The 17,751-nt window shown below is 46.0% G+C and overlaps 1 protein-coding gene across 2 annotated transcripts in view, besides 2 other annotated features; it reads right to left on the bottom strand.

The window, feature by feature from the left end:
- Positions 1-16,341, bottom strand: part of RAC1 (Rac family small GTPase 1) — a 29,441-nt gene extending 13,100 nt beyond the window's left edge. For both annotated transcript variants that reach the window (NM_018890.4, NM_006908.5), the window contains exons 1-2: positions 16,098-16,341; positions 3,585-3,656 (exon numbers count right to left, since the gene is read on the bottom strand). In NM_018890.4, coding sequence (NP_061485.1) covers positions 3,585-3,656; positions 16,098-16,132 — 107 coding nt within the window. In that variant the 5' untranslated portion in view covers positions 16,133-16,341. The remainder of the gene's footprint in view (positions 1-3,584; positions 3,657-16,097) is intronic.
- Positions 15,902-16,471: a silencer, noted in NCBI's record as "silent region_17942". NCBI's record gives its function as "represses an Ori minimal core promoter by ATAC-STARR-seq in GM12878 lymphoblastoid cells {active_cell/tissue: GM12878}" and the evidence as "EXISTENCE:reporter gene assay evidence [ECO:0000049][PMID:35858748]".
- Positions 17,032-17,081: a silencer, noted in NCBI's record as "silent region_17941". NCBI's record gives its function as "represses an Ori minimal core promoter by ATAC-STARR-seq in GM12878 lymphoblastoid cells {active_cell/tissue: GM12878}" and the evidence as "EXISTENCE:reporter gene assay evidence [ECO:0000049][PMID:35858748]".

The following is a 17,751-nucleotide window of genomic DNA, read 5'->3' as shown; positions in this document are numbered from 1 at the left end:
GTTAATTATATTTCCATAAGAAAAAAATTATTGGATAAATAGTATTGTGACTTTTTTTCCCCATAAGGGAAAAAGAATCAGGTCCTTGCCTCATTCTATACCAAAAATAAGTCCTAAATGAATTAAAGATAAAAATTTTAGCCACAAAAATCCTAGAAAAAAATACTAGAGCATACTTTTGCATTATTTAAGTAGGAAAGGCCTTTCTAAGTACAACATACAATTCTGAGGGAGAGGTGGTATTATCATTATTATTATTATTTTTTTTTTGAGACAGAATCTCACTGTCACCCAGGCTGGAGTGCAGTGGTGCGATCTCGGCTCACTGCAACCTCCACCTCCTGGGTTCAAGTGATTCTCCTGCCTCAGCCTCCTGAGGAGCTGGGATTACAGGTGCACGCCACCATGCCCGGTTAATTTTTGTATTTTTAGTAGAGATGGGGTTTCACCATGTTGATCAGGCTGGTCTTGATCTCCTGACCTCATAATGCGCCCACCTCAGCTTCCCAAAGTGCTGGAATTACAGGTGTGAGCCACCGTGCCCGGGTAAGGTGGTATTATTTACATTAAATGCTAAATTTCTATATGGCAGAAGACACCATAATGAAGTACAAAGACAAATGACAGACTGAGGATTATTTACAAAACGTTCCATCAGGCTACGTGCAGTGGAGCATGCTACTCAATAGGCTGAGGTGGAAGGACCAGTACTTCAAGTCCGGCCTGGGCAATACTGCAAGACCCCATCTCAAAAAAAAAAAAAAAAAAAAAGGGAGGGAGGGAGGGAGCAAGGGAGGGAGGGGAAAAGAAAGGAGAAGGAAGGAGGGAAGGAGGGAAGGAGTAGGAGAGGAGGGAAGGAGGGAGAGAGGGAGGGAGAGGAGGAGGGAGGGAAGAAAGGAAGGGAGGAAGGGAGGGAGAGAGGGAGGGAGGGAAGGAAGGAAGGAAATGTTCCATCAGTAAGAAAAAATTTCAGTAGAAAAATACAAAAGATTTAAACAGACAATTCACAAGAGACTAAAAATGTACAGTAAACATTCAAAAGAGCCAGGTGTGGTGGCTCACGCCTGTAATCCCAACACTTCGGGAGACCAAGGTGGAGAATCACCTGAGGCCAGGTCTTCAAGACCAGCCTGGGCAATATAGCAAAACATAGCTCTACAAAAACACATATTTTTTTTTTCTTTTTTGGAGACAATGTCTTGTTCTGTTGCCCAGGCTGGAGTGCAGAGGCACAATCTTGGCTCACTGCAACCTCCACCTCCCAGGTTCAAGCAATCCTCCTGCCTCAGCCTCCCGAATAGCTGGGATTATAGTCATGTGCCACCATGCCCAGCTAATTTTTGTATTTTTAGTAGAGACAGGGTTTCACCATCTTGGCCAAGTTGGTCTCAAACTCCTTACCTCAGTGATCCGCCCAGCTCAGCCTCCCCAAGTGCTGGGATTACAGGCGTGAGCAAACTTTTTTAATTAAAAAAAAAAAAAATTCAAAAGATTTTAACCACATCTGTGATTGGAAATGAAAACGGTTAGATAACTTCAACCCACGTTAATGGCAGTGTGTACTAAGAGGCCACTTAAGTCAAGGCCAGCAAAGTGACAGCTTTATAGACAGCAATTTGGTAGTTATCTACCAAAAAATAATTTTTTAATTTTTTTTTTTTTTTGGGAGACAGAGTCTCACTCTGTTACCCAGGCTGAAGTGCAGTGGCACAATCTTGGCTCACTGCAACCTCTGCTTCCCGGGTTCAAGCAATTCTCATGCCTCAGCCTCCTGAGTAGCTGGGACTACAGGAGTGCACCACCACACCCGGCTAACTACTGTATTTTTAGCAGAGGTGGGGGTTTTAACATGTTGGCCAGGTTGGTCTCGAACTCCTGACCTCAAGTGATCCTTCCGTCTTGGCCTCCCAAAGTGCTGGGATTACAGGCGTGAGCAATCACGCCCAGCTGTATCTACCAAAATTTAAAACATCCATTGTCTTTTGATTTGGCACGATTTTGCTTCTAATAATCTATCAAGTGTACACAAAGACATAAGGGACAACACTGAACCCAGCAATGTTTGTTAACACCAAGAGTCCAAGTGACCAGTGGGTTAAATCAGTTATAGTACTTCAAAATCATTAATCATTAATGATTAAACCTTTATCTACATATGTAGATAAGGAAAATCTCCCCCATAAATTTAGGACAACAGGGACAGCATGATTCCACTTACAGTAAAAAATGGGTGCCGTGGCTCACGCCTGTAATCCCAGCACTTTGGGAGGCTGAAGTGGGCAGATCACCTGAGGTCAGGAGTTTGAGACCAACCTGGCCAACATGGTGAAACCCGTCTCTACTAAAGAAACAAAAATTAGCCAGGTGTGGTGGTGTATGCCTGTAATCACAGCTACCTGGGAGGCTGAGGCAGAGAATCACTTGAACCCAGGAGGCAGACGCTGCAGTGAGCTGAGATCGCATCACAGCACTCCATCCTGGGCAAGAGAGAGAGACTAACTCCAAAAAAAAAAAAAAAAAAGGAAAACAACAACAACAACAACAAAAACATGGGTACGACACTTCAGAGAGCACCTGGGTGTGTGTTGTGCCTGAGGAGGTGAACACAGGTGGGGAGGAGGCGACACCTCCCCAGCCTGCACAGGGAGGACTCACAGCAGCTGCAGGATGGTGCATTATGAGGCTCAGCTACGTGCGCTCCCGGGTAACCCATCACCAGAGCAGCACTTTCCTGTCTCCACCCAATTCTGCTGCCTATAGGGAGTAAGCAATTCAATAGCCAATTCCACCCTCCCATTCCCCCTTCAACACACACACCCAAGTTTCAATTCCAAAGCCCTACACCTCAATGCGGACATGTAACCAACTGATGACTTATCAGAAAAGGCCAATTAAAACGTAATGGAATCTTTCCCTTTCCAGTTCCCAGAAAGCCAGTGTATCTGAAACTCGTGCACTGACAAGGACTGTTTCTGATCAGACTTTTGGTCAGAGTTCTTGTGTCCAACTATGGTTTTCTTTAACATCATCCAGTCTCTGTACCTCACAGACAGTTAAAGTTTGCTTTCTGGATGTCTAAAAATCAACTAGCAAAGTTGTGAAAAGTTTATATTACCCTAAGTTTCTTTTTTTTTTTTCTTTTGAGATGGAGTTTCGCTCTCATTGCCCAGGCTGGAGTGCAGTGGCGTGATCTTGGCTCACTGCAACCTCCGCCTCCACGGTTCGAGTGATTCTCCTGCCTCAGCCTCCCAAGTATGTGGGATTACAGGCACCCGCCACCACACCTGGCTAATTTTTTGTATTTTTAGTAGAGATGGGGTTTCATCACGTTGACCATGCTGGTCTCGAACTCCTGACCCTCAGTTGATCCACCCGCCTCAGTCTCCCAAAGTGCTGAGATCACCACCCCCAGCCCTATTTTTTAAAAGCCTAATATACCTTATAATTAGGTTTCAGTGAATGTTTAAGAAAAAATTAGTATCTGTTCATATGAGGATTAAAGATGGCTTTACAGCAAAACAAATGGTCAAAGAAATGTGAAACCCGTAACACAAACAGGTTAATTCCCAATTTAAGATACTTACACAGTAGGGATATATTCTCCAGGAAATGCATTGGTTGTGTAACTGATCAGTAGGCAAGTTTTACCTACAGCTCTAAAGAGAAAGAGAAAAAAGGTTGCTTAGTCAACATGAATGTAATCTTAGCTTTCACTATTAAGTTAAAATAATTTCTAGAGAAAAAAAATCAAGGCATATACATCACATACTTAGCATTAAAGAAAATGTTTTCTATAACCCTTTATCACCACATACACATTGGTACCCTGAAATTTAAAGTAAACAAACTAGAATTTCTCAGAAAGATAGAGTCAGGAGCCATCACATTCTGTTTAGGTACCCGGTGTTAGCATTAATAGTCAAGAAACAGTTGTCACCTAGCTACAAGACTCAAGAGAAACAAGATTTTAAAACTTCACGTCTCTTCTGTGAACATCTGTAGAGCCTCTCATCAAGAATCTTAAGTTTGATCCTGAAGATATTTTCTTTTTTTCTTTTTTTTCTTTTTTTTTTTTTTTTGAGACCGAGTCTCGTGCTGTCGCCCCAGCTGGAGTGCAGTGCAGAGGCACCATCTTGGCTCACTGCAACCTCTGCCTCCCAGGTTCAAGCGATTCTCCTGCCTCAGCCTCCCAAGTAGCTGGGATTACAGCTGTCCACCACCACGCCTGGATAATTTTTTTGTATTTTTAGTAGAGATGGGTTTTCGCCATGTTGGCCAGGCTGGTCTCGAACTCCTGACCTCAAGTGATCCGCCCACCTGGACCTCCCAAAGTGCTGGGATTACAGGCTGGAGCCACCACACCCAGCCTAAAGGTATTTTAATTAACACTAATATACAAACACAGCCTTCCTCTTTAAGTAACTTATTCTGCTGCCTTAAGTGGGACAGCTCAAAATCCCACCACATCCCTACAGCCTCCCCTATGGCAATCAGCAATGACTGTTCTCTTGAGAGAAAGTGCTTAGTCAATAAACTACCACACGTAACTGCCATCACATTGATTCAGCTGTATTTAAATGCCACCTCCCCCAGCCCCAATCCTCACACAGCACCATAAGTCTATAAGCAGGGACTATCACAATACATCCCAGACATTTAATTAACAGCTCAGAGACGATGGGAGTTAAACTTGCCAAACAGAGAAGTGTGTAGAAATACTTCAGAGAAAGGAGCACCACCTGCACAACTGGCAATGGGTAGAGACTAATCCTAATATTACCAGTGTGCCGCCAGGCAGAAGAGTGGTGGCTGAAAGTCTCCCAACCACCTGGAATGTTTTTCAAGAGGCTATCACCTAATAACTAAGGTCACCACATCATTAGCAAAACATAAAGGTCTCCAATTTTTACAGCATTGACAAGGCAAGCTTAAGGGCTTACATGAGAATTCAAGTCTCTGGCATCCTGAGGGTTCAGTTAGCCAAGTGCTCTCCTTAATGAGCCCTTCTCTCTGCTGTGCTGTCAGTTTACCAAGGTCACAATGACACATCAGCATCATAATTTTAAGATTTTTGTCGTTCAATCTCAACTACTATAAATTAGAATTCACCATAAAGTTAAGCGCTTTTCCATTTTCCCTCACACTCAAGGCAGATTACAGGCCCAGCCAGTCTTGCCAATATTCATTCACTCATGACATTATTGAGGGCTTAACAAAAGTTGGAACTCCCCATTCCAAAGACTTTAGAGAGTCAAACATTACATCACCAGGAAGTAGCTTCCAACTCCTAAAGGCTTTCTAAACAGAAATGACTCATTGGACATACATTTCGTTAAAAGCTTAGAATGTGAAAATAAACCTGTATGAGCAGGAGCCTAAGCTTTGGAGTCAGAAGCCCAGATTTGAGACCCAGGGCCAATTCTAGCACGTACTGGCTGTATTTTTTGGCAAGTTTCAACTTCCTCATGCCTTTTTTTTTCACCTGCAAAATTAATGCAGAACTACCAGCTCCATCCCCAAACTACTGTGAGCATTAATTCAATTTCAATTTATATCAACCGTGTGCTACACCAGAAGCACACTAGGTGCTAAAGATGTATCAATGAACAAGACCTCATGAAGTAAGTGCAGTTGTTAAATTTAAAAATTAAGAATGCAATCATCACATGAAATTATGCGTGTGATAACTGTCATTATTAAAGCAGCTCTGGAAATGTACAGCAAAAGAGCTAACATTTCTAGAGCTGAAAAAAATATTTTTAGGCCAGGCATGGTGGCTCATGCCTGTAATCCTAGCACTTTGGGAGGCTGAGGTGGGTGGATCGCTTGAGCCCAGGAGTTCAAGACCAGCTGGGCCAACATGGAGAAACCCGTTCTCTACTAAAAATACAAAAATTAGGTGGGTGTGGCGGTGTGCAGCAGTAGTCTCAGCTACTTGGGGGGCTGAGGCACGAGGATCACTTGAACCCAGGAGGGAGGTCAAGGCTGCAGTGAAACAAGATTGCACCAGTGCATCCAGTCTGAGGGACAAAGTGAGACCCTGTCTCAAAAAAATAAATTTTTTTAAATTAAAAAATAAAAGCCTGGTGCAGTGGCTTAGGCCTGTAATCCCAGCACAGGAGGCTATAATCCCAGCACAGGGGCCTGAGGTGGGAGGATCGCTGAGCCCAGGAGTTCAAGACCAGCCTGGGCAACATAGGGAGACCTTGTTTCCACAAAAAATTCAAAAATAAGTGGTGGCTCTTGCCTGTAGTCCCAGCTACTCAGGAGGCTGAAGCAAGAGGATCCCTTCAGCCCAGGAATTCAGGGCAGCAGTGAGCTGTGATCACACCACTCCACCCAGCCTAGGTGACAAAGCACGATCCCATCTCAACAATAAAAAAATAAGTGGGCAGTGGCATAGGGAAATACGTTACCTCTTCTTGTTAAGGACATGGGGACTAGATCCTACTTGGAAAGTCACAGGTTTTAAATTGCCCAGAAAGCACTGGATTTTAGAAGAAGCCTCCAACTGCAGTGTGGCAGGAAGCCTGAGGACGCCAGGGACTCAGTCAAGGCAGACACACATGGAAGCTGTTGCTACAGTCCAGGAGCCATCCATGGTGGCCTGGACCAAGAATGGGGACTGGACAGTGAACATAAGTGGGCTGTTTCCTGGACTGCTTGAACTTGGAGGCAGATCAAGCATCGCTTACCCATGGTTTGGATGTGGCAGCTGAGGAAGAAAGTGGAGCCTAAGGCTCTAAGGGACCTTTTTAAAAATGATAAAGGTTGGCTGGGCTCGGTGGCTCACACATGTAATCCCAGCACTTTGGGAGGCCAAGGCGGGCGGATCACCTGAGGTCAGGAATTCGAGAAGAGCCTGACCAACATGGAGAAACCCCTCTCTACTAAAAATACAAAATTAGCCGGGCGTGCATGCCTGTAATCCCAGCTACTCGGGAGGCTGAAGCAGGAGAGTCGCTTGAACCCGGGAGGCGGAAGTTGCAGTGAGCCGAGATTGCGCCATTGCACTCCAGCCTGGGCAACAAGAGCAAAACTCCGTCTCAAAAAAAAAAAAAAAAAAAAAAAAAAAAAAAAAAAGATAAAGGTTGTGTAAAAACCTTAACAATAGTTGCCACTCAGTGTCAAGGATAAGCTGCTATGAAGGTTTTGACTGTTATGATAAAATGTCATTATCACTTCTTTTACTATTCTGTCCTAAGTCTCTATGTATATGAGGAACAAAACTACTAATATAAAGGCAACCAGCTGTGTCTAAAATCCTCTAAACTTCCTTTCCTGAATGACATCTTTAGCTGAGAAAGGCTCAACCGGGAAGAAATTCAAGGTACTGGCATAATCTGATACTGACTGAAATTTTATTACCAATCACTATTTGTTACAAATCTATGTCTTATAAGAATATGATTATTAAACTACAGAATTCTTAAAGTGCAACCTTATATTTAAGCTTAGTGCAATCAAAAGATAAAATCGACTCCTCTTTAAGTCTTCTGATTAAAACTTTTACTTAATTTATTCAAATAGGTAAAAGAAAAAGGTTATTCCACTCCTATTAGTGTATATTCATTCCTTGTCCACGCTGCGCTTCCACAAACCAAGTCAACATCTGCACTGGGCAATGTGACAGCCTTTCCATGGCCTTTCCCTCATGAAGAATGGAAGCCGTATTTGGCCACAAGTCTTGACTGATACTGCTGGAGAATTTCTGGTAGTTACTACTTCTTTGGAATTTCTAACTTTATATAATTAACTGCTCAGTTCAACCTCTTTTCAATCATCGAGCAATGTCATCACTCTAGGAAACGAACATGAGTCGGCTGGAAGAAAGTTCATGCCATTTCTACATTGGATTTCCCCCTAGCTCATGATGCTACAATTTTTTTTAACCTATCTGTGCTTCCCCTGCCCTGTCCTGTAGAAATAACCACAATGAAAGCAAATAACTTATGTTGCTATTATGTTCTTCATTTTTCCATTAAGAGAACTTTAAGACGGAGTCTTGGCTCTGTCTTCCAGGCTGGAGCCCAATGGTGCAATCCTGGCTTACCACAACCTCTGCCTGCTGGGTTCGAACAATTCTCCTGCCTCAGCCTCCCAAGTAGCTGGGACTACACGTAAGCACCACCACATCCAGCTAATTTTTTTTTGTTGTTGTATTTTCAGTAGAGACAGGGTTTTGCCATGTTGGCCAGACTGGTCTCGAATTCCTGACCTCAGGAGATCCACCCCATCGGCCTCCCAAAGTGCTGGGGTTACAGGCGTGAGCCACCACGCCCAGCCAAGAGAACTTTTTACTTACTTTTTGAGGAGAGTAGGGTAAACTTTAGTGTTACTTCCTGAAATCTATAAACCAAAACTTAAAAGCACAATCAACAAATCTAGAAACGCTAGGAATTTCCTCACGTTAAAAAAATAAAAGATCCAAGAAGCTCAAAAAATAACAACTTTCTGCACTGCCTTCTTTTAAAGACACGTTGATCTCAGGACAGAAAAGCCAAACTCTTCCAATGACAATTACAATTGCAAACCAAAATACAGAGCATATATTGCTGTCTAAAAGTGAGTAGATCTTGGCCAGGCGCAGTGGCTCTTCCCTGTAATCCCAGCAAGAGGCCAAGGCGGGTGGATCACTTCAGGCCAGGAGTTCGAGACCAGACTGACCAACACAGCGAAACTGCATCTCTATTAAAAATACAAAAAATTAGCTGAGTGTGGTGGCAGGCGCCTGTAATCCCAGCTACTCAGGAGGCTGAGGCAGAAGTATCGCTTGAGGCCACGGGGTAGAGGTTGCAGTGAGCTGAGATCGCATCACTGCACTCCAGCCTGAGCAACAGAGCGAGACTCTCTGACTCAAAAAACAAAAAAAAGTATGTAGATCTTAAGGACAAGGCAGTAGAATTTAGTAACTGTCAAATATATATTCCTACTTATTGAATAAATTAAAGACCTCGCATGAAGGTCCTCGATTTACACTGACAAACAAGGTATGGGGATTCTGTAACGGTAGGCCTTATATATAACTGCGTTAACTATGCAGATAAAATCTGTCCAGAAAAATACACCACTAGAGTAGTGCAGTGCTAAATAAACACAAAACCCAATCTAAAATTATGATGTTCTACTACCAATATCTGACTTCACAATCAATGTAAAGAAAGCTAGCCATAAGCCAGGCACGGTGGCTCATGCCTGTAATCCTAGCACTTTAGGAGGGCAAGGTGGGCGGACTGTCTGACCTTAGGAGTTCAAGACCAGCCTGGGCAGCACAGTGAAACCCCGTCTCTACTAAAATACAAAAGAAATTAGCTGGGTGTGGTGGCACACGCCTGTAATCTCAGCTACTCAGGAGGCTGAGGCAGGAGAATTGCTTGAACCTGGGAGGCAGAGGTTGCAGTGAGCTGATTTCGTGCCACTGCACTCCAGCCTGGCGACAGAGCAAGACTCTGTTTCTACCAAAAAAAAAAAAAAAAAGCCAGCAATTATTACCACTAGAAGCTTCAAAAAATTAAGATAGTGCATAAAGTTTCTCACTTAGGCTGAAGACACTATGTACAACTGAGCTGAAGTCTGAATCCACCCTTCCAGAATCAAGGCTAACCCTGGTGTAGTTGATACAAGCCAGCTGAACACACAAGAGTTCAAAAATAAGAATTTATATGTAACTGCACACAGTCCCTATTCTTTTTCAAAATCAGGCCGGGCATGGTGGCTGACGCCTGTAATCCCATCACTTTGGGAGGCCGAGGCAGGTGGATCACCTGAGGTCAGGAGTTCCAGACCAGCCTGGCCAAGATGGTGAAACCTGTCTCAACTAAGAATACAAAAATTAGCCAGGCATGGTGGTGGGTGCCTGTAAGCCCAGCTACTCAGGAGGCTGAGGCAGGAGAATCGCCTGAACCTGGGATGCGGAGATTGCAGTGAGCAGAGATCATGCCATTGCACTCCAGCCTGGGCAACAGAGCAAGACTCCACCTCAAAAAGAGCAAAACAAAACAAAACAAAAAACAAAATCAACTCCTCTATAAATCCTCTTAAAAGGTTCCCTCTGATAACAGGAAGACATGATAAAGCAAATACAGCAAAATGAACAAGTAGAGCAAAATACTGTCATAGAATCCAGGCCATGGGTATGTGCATGTTGACTGTACAATGCTTTCCACTAGTCTGTTTGAAATTTTTCATATTAAGACATTGCAGGAAAATATTCCTACTGATCACATGCAATCCTGCCTTGGTGGCAAAGACTCTTGACAAAAACATCTCCTTTCAAGGAAGACTACAATTTTAAGAGCTACGTAGTGATGGAGATGTGAAAAAGTAGGCAGTACTAAGGTATCAGATGACTAATGCAAAAAGACAGAAAGTTATAAAGGGTGAATTTAAGGTTTCTAAAAATGGCTTCCTGATGCTCCTCCCACTTAGCCCAACTCCAAACTTTTACTGTAACTATCATTTGAAATTAAAACACACACACACACACACATTATGTATAATTTTTTTGGCTTATCAAGAAAAAAAACCACATTATGTATAAAATCATCAACAAAGATCAGAGCCATATACTACACCTACATTTGGAGGCCAGTGCAGAATTCAAATACCTTTACCACAGGTCAAAAATATGAAACCCCATGCCTTGAGAGGAAAACACACAAAACAGCTGAAAAGCTTAAACAAATTCATGGTTCACGCCACCACCGTTCAACAGAAGTAAAGAATAAATGTAAAGAATGTTCCTGTAAGGATGATGTCACGGAAGGCATTTTTCACATTCAGCTAAGAAACTCCTGGACAGTAATGTATGTCCAAGTCAGACATTGGGCTAGACAGGCCACTAGCCCAATCTGGACTCCACTTTGTATAAAGAGTGAAACAGAGAGGGCTTCAAGTCATTCGTTCCCATTCCTTTAATCAACCAACACCAAAACAACACTATTAAAATAGTTGTGGCCGGGCGCAGTGGCTCGGGCCTGTAATTCCATCACTTTGGGAGGCCAAAGCAGGAGAACTGCTTGAACCCAGGAGGCAGAGGTTGCCATGAGCCCATATCATGCCACTGCACCCCGGCCTGGGTGACAGAGCGAGACTCCATCTCAAAAAATAGTAATAAGCAATAAAAAAATAAAAAATAAAATAATAAAACTGTTGTTTAGGCCAGGGACGATGGCTCACGCCCATAATCCCAGCACTTTGGGAGGCCAAGGCGGGCAGATCGCCTAAGGTCAGGAGTTCGAAACCAACCTGGTCAACATGGTGAAACCCTGTCTCTATTAAAAATACAAAAAATTGCCAGGCGTAGTGGCTCATGCCTGTAATCCCAGTACTTTTTGAGAGGCTAAGGCAGGTGGATAACCTGAGGTCAGGCGTTTGAGACCAACCTGGCTAACAAGGAGAAACCTCGTCTCTATTAAAAATACGAAATTAGTCAGTGTGGTGGAGCGTGACTGTAATCCCACCTACTCGACAAGCTGAGGCAGGAGAATCGCTTGAACCCAGGAGGAGGAGGTTGCAGTGAGCCGAGATCGCACCACTGCACTCCAACCTTTGCAAAAAGGGCGAAAACTCCTTCTCAAAAAAAAAAAAAAAAAAAAAATTACCTCGGCATGGTAGCAGGCACGTGTAGTTCCAGCTACTTGGGAGGCTGACGCAGGAGAATCACTTGAACCCAGGAGGTGGAGGCTGCAGTGAGCCAATATAAAATAAAAACAAATAAATAATAAAAGTTGTTTATAAATACCTGAATGTAAGATGCTGTCTTTTTTTTCCTTTTTGAGACGGAGTCTCACTCTGTTACCCAGGCTGGAGTGCAGTGGCACGATATTGGCTCACTGCAACTTCCACCTCCCTTGATTCAAACAATTCCCCTGCCTCAGCCTCCCGAGTAGCTAGGATTACAGGCGCCCCCCACCATCCTTGGCTAATTTTTTTGTATTTTTAGTAGAGACAGGGTTTCACCATATTGGCCAGACTGGTCTCGAACTCCTGACTTCAGGCAATCCGCCTGCCTTGGCCTCCCAAAGTTCTGGGATTACAGGCATGAGCCATCGCGCCCGGGTGATGCTGTCTTACCTAGGAAAAGCTGAGAGAAAATCTTGGGGCAAAGGTCCACTAAGTGAAAGTTAAAAGGTGGGGCAGCAGTAAGGTGGAGGAAAAAAAAATTATAGACCCCATGCTCAGAAAGGACTATCTTAGAATAAAAGAGTATCAACCCTATGTAATATTTCTTGGCCAATCTCAATTAAATTGCTATTCAGGAAATCTAGAATTTTCTAACATGCTTTGCAAATTATTTCTGACTTTTTTTCTTTTTTTTTCAAGACAGAGCCTTGCTCTTGTCGCCCAGGCTGGAGTGCAGTGACACAATCTCAGCTCACTGCAACTTCCGCCTTCCGGGTTCAAGTGATTCTCCTGCCTCAGCATCCTGAGTAGCTGGGATTACAGGCGCCCACCACCACGCCCGGCTAATTTTTGTACTTTTAGTAGAGACAGGGTTTTGCCATGTTGGCCAGGCTGGTCTCGAGCTCCTGACCTCAGGTGATCCGCCTGCCTCGGCCTCCCAAAGTGCTGAGATTACAGGCATGAGCCACCGCACCTGGCAGACATATTTTCATACGGGTGTATTATCAGTCTCTATCAGTCAGGGTCCCAGAAGGAAAAAACTCATCCCAGAAGATTGAAATAGAGATTTTCATGAAGGAATTATTTACACAGCCCTGTATGCAGAGTTAAGGAGCAAACAAGATGGCAAGGCATCCAATTCTAGAAATGATAAGACAGAACCATCCCTAGGGATGATGAGACAAGGAGCAGGAGTTTCCTTAAGAGCCCAGTGTAAGCAGAGGCACAGGAGGGCAGGATGGAGGGACGTACAGCCTGAAAGGACACTGCCATGGTCCAGGCAAAGGGTCAAAGCAGGAACAGATGAAGATGTATCTCCTTTAAAAACAAACAAACAAAAAAAGACAGTTTCCCTCTGTCACCCAAGCTGGAGTGCAATGGTACAATCTTGGCTCACTGCAACCTCCACCTCCCAAGTTCAAGCGATTCTCCTGCCTCAACCTCCTGAATAGCTAGGATTACAGGCGTGCCCAGCTAATTTTTCTATTTTTAGTAGAGACGAGGTTTCGCCATATTGGCCAGACTGGTCTCAAACTCCTGACCTCAGGTGAACCGCCCACCTCGGCCTCCCAAAGTGCTGGGATTACAGGCTTGAGCTACCGTGCCCGGCCAAAGACGTATCTCTAATAGTTTTTGTTTTTGCTTTTTTGAGACAAGGTCTCACTCTGTCGCACGGGCTGGAGTGCAATGGCACAATCTCAGCTCACTACAACCTCCACCTCCTGGGTTTCAAGCGATCCTCCCACCTTAGCCTCCCGAGTAGCTGGGACTACAGGCACATGTGTCTACACCTAGCTAATTTTTGTATTTTTAGCAGAGACAGGGTCTCGCCATGTTGCCCAGGCTGGTCTTGAACTCCTAAGCTCTAGTGATCCACCCACCTTGGCCTCCCAAAATGCTGGGTTACAGGTGTGAGCCACCTGACCTGGCCAGGTACATTTCACTTCTAATATCACTTAGCTGTAGTCAACATCAATACTAAACATAGTATTAAAAAATAACTGTGCTTGTTCAAATGCTCATAACTAATTAAAAAAAAAAAACAGACTGAAAACTCAAGGCCACAGACTTTTAAGCCTAATACTCCCTCACAGAGTCTCAGTAGTAGAAACCGCAATAACAGTACCTGGCATTTACTAAGCATTCAGCAAGGGGCACCTGCGAGGTAGTTAATAACCAACATCTTGTTTAGTCTTGTTGACCTCCCATTGAACCGCCTCTCTTGGGAGGTGGGGGATGTGCTTAGGGTTACCCCATGTAAGCGGTGGGGTGGGGATTTGAAGGGACGGTCCAGATTCCATGACATTCAACAAGTTATTTGACTAGATAAAACAGCCAATTCAAACAGCAGAGGTCCACAATCGGTTAGTATTAAATAAACGTATCTGCTATGCTTATGTTTTAGTTTTAGAAATTTTCAAATAATTATCAGCAATATGACTTAAAAAAAAAAAAAAAAAAAAACAGGCCGAGGCGGGCGGATCACTTGAGGGTCAGGAGTTTGAGACCAGCCTCACCAACATGGTGAAACTCCGTCTCCACCAAAAAAATACAAAAAAAAAAAAAAAAAACAAATTAGCTGGGCATGGTGGCTTGCGCCTGTAATCCCAGCTACTTGGGAGACTAAGGCACGAGAATCGCTTGAACCCGGGAGGCAGAGGTTGCAGGAGCAGAGATCGCGCCATTGCACTCCAGCCTGGGCGACAGAGTGAGACCCCGTCTCAAAAAAAAAAAAAAGAAAAGAAAAAAAAAAAAAATTGGGCCGGGCGCCGTGGCTTACGCCTGTAATCCCAACACTCTGGGAGACCCAGGCGGGTGGATCACCTGAGGTCAGGAATTCGAGACCAGCCAGGCCAACATGGTGAAACCCCGTCTCTACTAAAAAATACAAAAATTAGCCGGACACGGTGGCGCGTGCCTGTAATCCCAGCTACTAAGGACACTGAGGCAGGAGGATCGCTTGAACCTGGGAGGCGGAGGTTGTAGTGAGCCGAAATCGTGCCACTGCACTCCAGCCTGGGCAACAGAGTGAAACTCCGTCTCAAAAAAAAAAAAAAAAAAAAAAAAGCCTGAATAGCCTACATACTCTAATACTCCTTCACACTTCCAAGACAAATCCGACAGATGGGCATCTTACAAAAATCAGCTGTCTAATTATCCTTCTTGCATCTGAATTGCAAGAACCAAAATCTGTCCTAATGATAAGTTTGAAGAATATCAATCCAGTTAACCGTGATGCCAGAACTTTCCTTGGACTTTACTGCAACATGTACCAGTTGCATTGAGTTTGATTAAACTGGTAGTAATTCTTCCTCGCTAACACTAACCTATACAAGCAACGCTGAGACGCGCGATTTTGCTCGGGTTACACTGAGATTCTTGTTTCTATGGGAGAAAAAAACTGCATAAGACAAGTTTTGTCTTCCTCTAGGGCCTGTAACCATCACGGACAATCATGAAAAGCAATGCCTGGAGTCACAGGGGGCCAGTTCTGCTACATCCCATACCTAACGCGTTAAGCAAAGAACAGTTTTTTTGTCAATGACCACACCACGTTGTTTAAAAAAAAAAAAGAAAGAAAGAAAAGAAAAAACAGTCCCCCATTACAGCCGGCTCCTCCCAGCCAGCATCTTCAAAACTTTCTCCACGGAAAGGGCGAAAACAATTTTAAGAATCCTAACAGTGGCAGAAGTGTAAGTCAAAAAACCTGTCGAAAATAAGTTGAGAGGCCGGGCGCGGTGTCACCCCAGCGCTTTTGGAGGCTGAGAGGCAGGAGAATCACTTGAGCGCAGGAATTCGAGACCAGCCTGGACAACACAGTGAGACCCCATTTCTACAAAAAACTTTTAAAGATTAGCCAGGCGTGGTGGCACACGCCTGTAATCCCAGCATTTTGGAGGCTGGGATGGGAGGATTGCTTGAACCCAGGAGTTCGAGACCGGCCTGGGCAACACAGCGAGACCCCGTCTATGAAAAAAAAATTTTTTTAAAGAAAAGTTTGGGGGCACCAAAGCGGCCCGTACAATCAAGCATGCATCAAATATGATCGACTTGACCGCCGCGTTCCCAACCCAATTCTCAAAAGGGGATCGAGAGGTTCATGCAAAAAAAATAAAGGGTCCCTTTTTGGAAAAATGGTCAAAATCTCCAAGAGCGCTTGCTCTACGAGCGCTCCCGAGGAGGGCGGCGGGCGGCGTCCGGGAAGAAAGCCGGAGGGTGGAGTTCACTTTTCCCTCTAGCCGGCGAGCGGCGAGGCCCTCCTCCATCGAGAGCCGGAACCAGGCACGCGCCGCCCGGGCCGTCAGGGTCCGGTGGGGGCGCCCGCCCGCGGCCCCCGCCCCGCGACACAGGCCCAGGCCCACCGCCTACGCGAGACCGCGGCGGACGCCGGCCTGCCTGGGCCCCAGTCCGGGCCCAACCCCCCTCCGCGCCCGATCCCGCGGCCTCCAGCCCGGCCCCGGCCGCGCACTCACCCGTCTCCCACCACCACACACTTGATGGCCTGCATCAGGGCCGCTCGCTGGGCCGCGGCGGCGGCGGCAGGGCGCTGAGATAGGAAGCGGCGGGCTCGGGGCGCGGCGGACGGGCGCGCGGCTTGCGGGCGGCGGGGCGCTGGGTGCCGGGGCCGCTGTCCACGCCGCCTCGCCCTCCGCGGACTGGAAGCCGATGCCCGGCAGCGGCCACCACCCAAAGCTGAGGAAAACTGCAGAGAAACAGGAAATGGCCGCTCCACTCACATCCGGCCTCCCCTCCCCCGCGCCGGCGCCGCCGCTCCCAGGTTCCGGGCGGGGCCGCTCCCGCCCGCGCCGCTCCCGCCCGCGCCGCTCCCGGAGTTTCTCTGGACTTCGGGAATGCTCGGAAGCGCTCGGGCCCACTCGGCTCCGGCCGCGGGGCGTGGCAGCCGCCATCTTGGCGCGCTAAAGCGGCCTGGGCGTGGCCGGGCCTGCAGGTCCCTTCCCTGGGACTCAGGGCTTTAAGAGGAACCTGTCAGCTCGGCGCGGTGGCTCACGTCCGTAATCCCAACACTTTGGGAGGCTGAGGCGGGCGGATCACCTGAGGTCACGAGTTCAAGACCAGCCTGGCCAACATGGTGAAACACTGTCTCTAATAAAAATACAAAAAATTAACGGGGCGTGGTGGTGGGCGCCTGTAATCCCAGCTACTCAGGAGGCTGAGGCAGGTGAATCACTTCAACCCGGGAGGCAGTGGTTGCAGTGAGCCGAGATCCTGCTATTGCACTCCAGCCTGGGCGACAAGAGCGAAACTCCGTCTCAAAAAAAAAAACAAAAACAAAAACGAGGAACCTGTCAGACAGGGCGCGGTGGCTCAAGCCTGTAAACCCAGCACTTTGGGAGGCCGAGGAGGGCGGATCACAAGGTCAAGAGATCGAGACCATCCTGGCCAACATGGTGAAACCCCGTCTCTACTAAAAATACAAAAATTAGATTAGCAGGGCGTGGAGGCGCGCGCCTGTAGTTCCAGCTACTCAGGAGCCTGAGGCAGGAGAATCTCTTGAACCTGGGAGGCGGTGGTTTCAGTGAGCCCAGATGGCGCCACTGCACTCCAGCCTGGAGTCAGAGCGAGACCCCGTCTCAAAAAAAAAAAAAAAAAAGAGGAACCTGTGGTGGCTGGGCGCAGTGGCTCACGTCTGTCATCCCAGCACTTTGGTTGGGCGGCCCAGGTGGGTGGATCACAAGTTCAGGAGTTTGAGACCAGCCTCACCAACATGGTGAAACCCCATCTCTACTAAAAAAATACAAAAGTTAGCTGGATGTGGTGGCAGGCGCCTGTAATCCCAGCTACTAGGGCGGCTGAGACAGGAGACTCGCTTGAACCGAGGACACGGAGGTTGCAGTGAGCTGAGATTGCGCCACTGCACTCCAGCCTAGGAGACAGAGTGAGACTCCGTCTTAAAAAAAAAAAAAAAAAGGAACCTGTGGTTGCAGGAGCCATGTTCCTTGTCACTAACTCCTGCTTGAGGCCATTGGAGGGCATTGACTCCCCCTGTTTCATTATCTTTATGTGATAACTATCTGCAATGACATTAGGTCCTTTTAGAAAATTCGGAATCTAAAACTATAAGGAAGAATAAAATCATACACCATACGTTTACTCAGCAATAACCAT

The sequence above is a fragment of the Homo sapiens genome, chromosome 7 (assembly GCF_000001405.40).
Source record: "Homo sapiens chromosome 7, GRCh38.p14 Primary Assembly".
NCBI classification, from domain to species: domain Eukaryota; kingdom Metazoa; phylum Chordata; class Mammalia; order Primates; family Hominidae; genus Homo; species Homo sapiens.
This window is presented reverse-complemented; position numbering and strand designations above follow the sequence as displayed.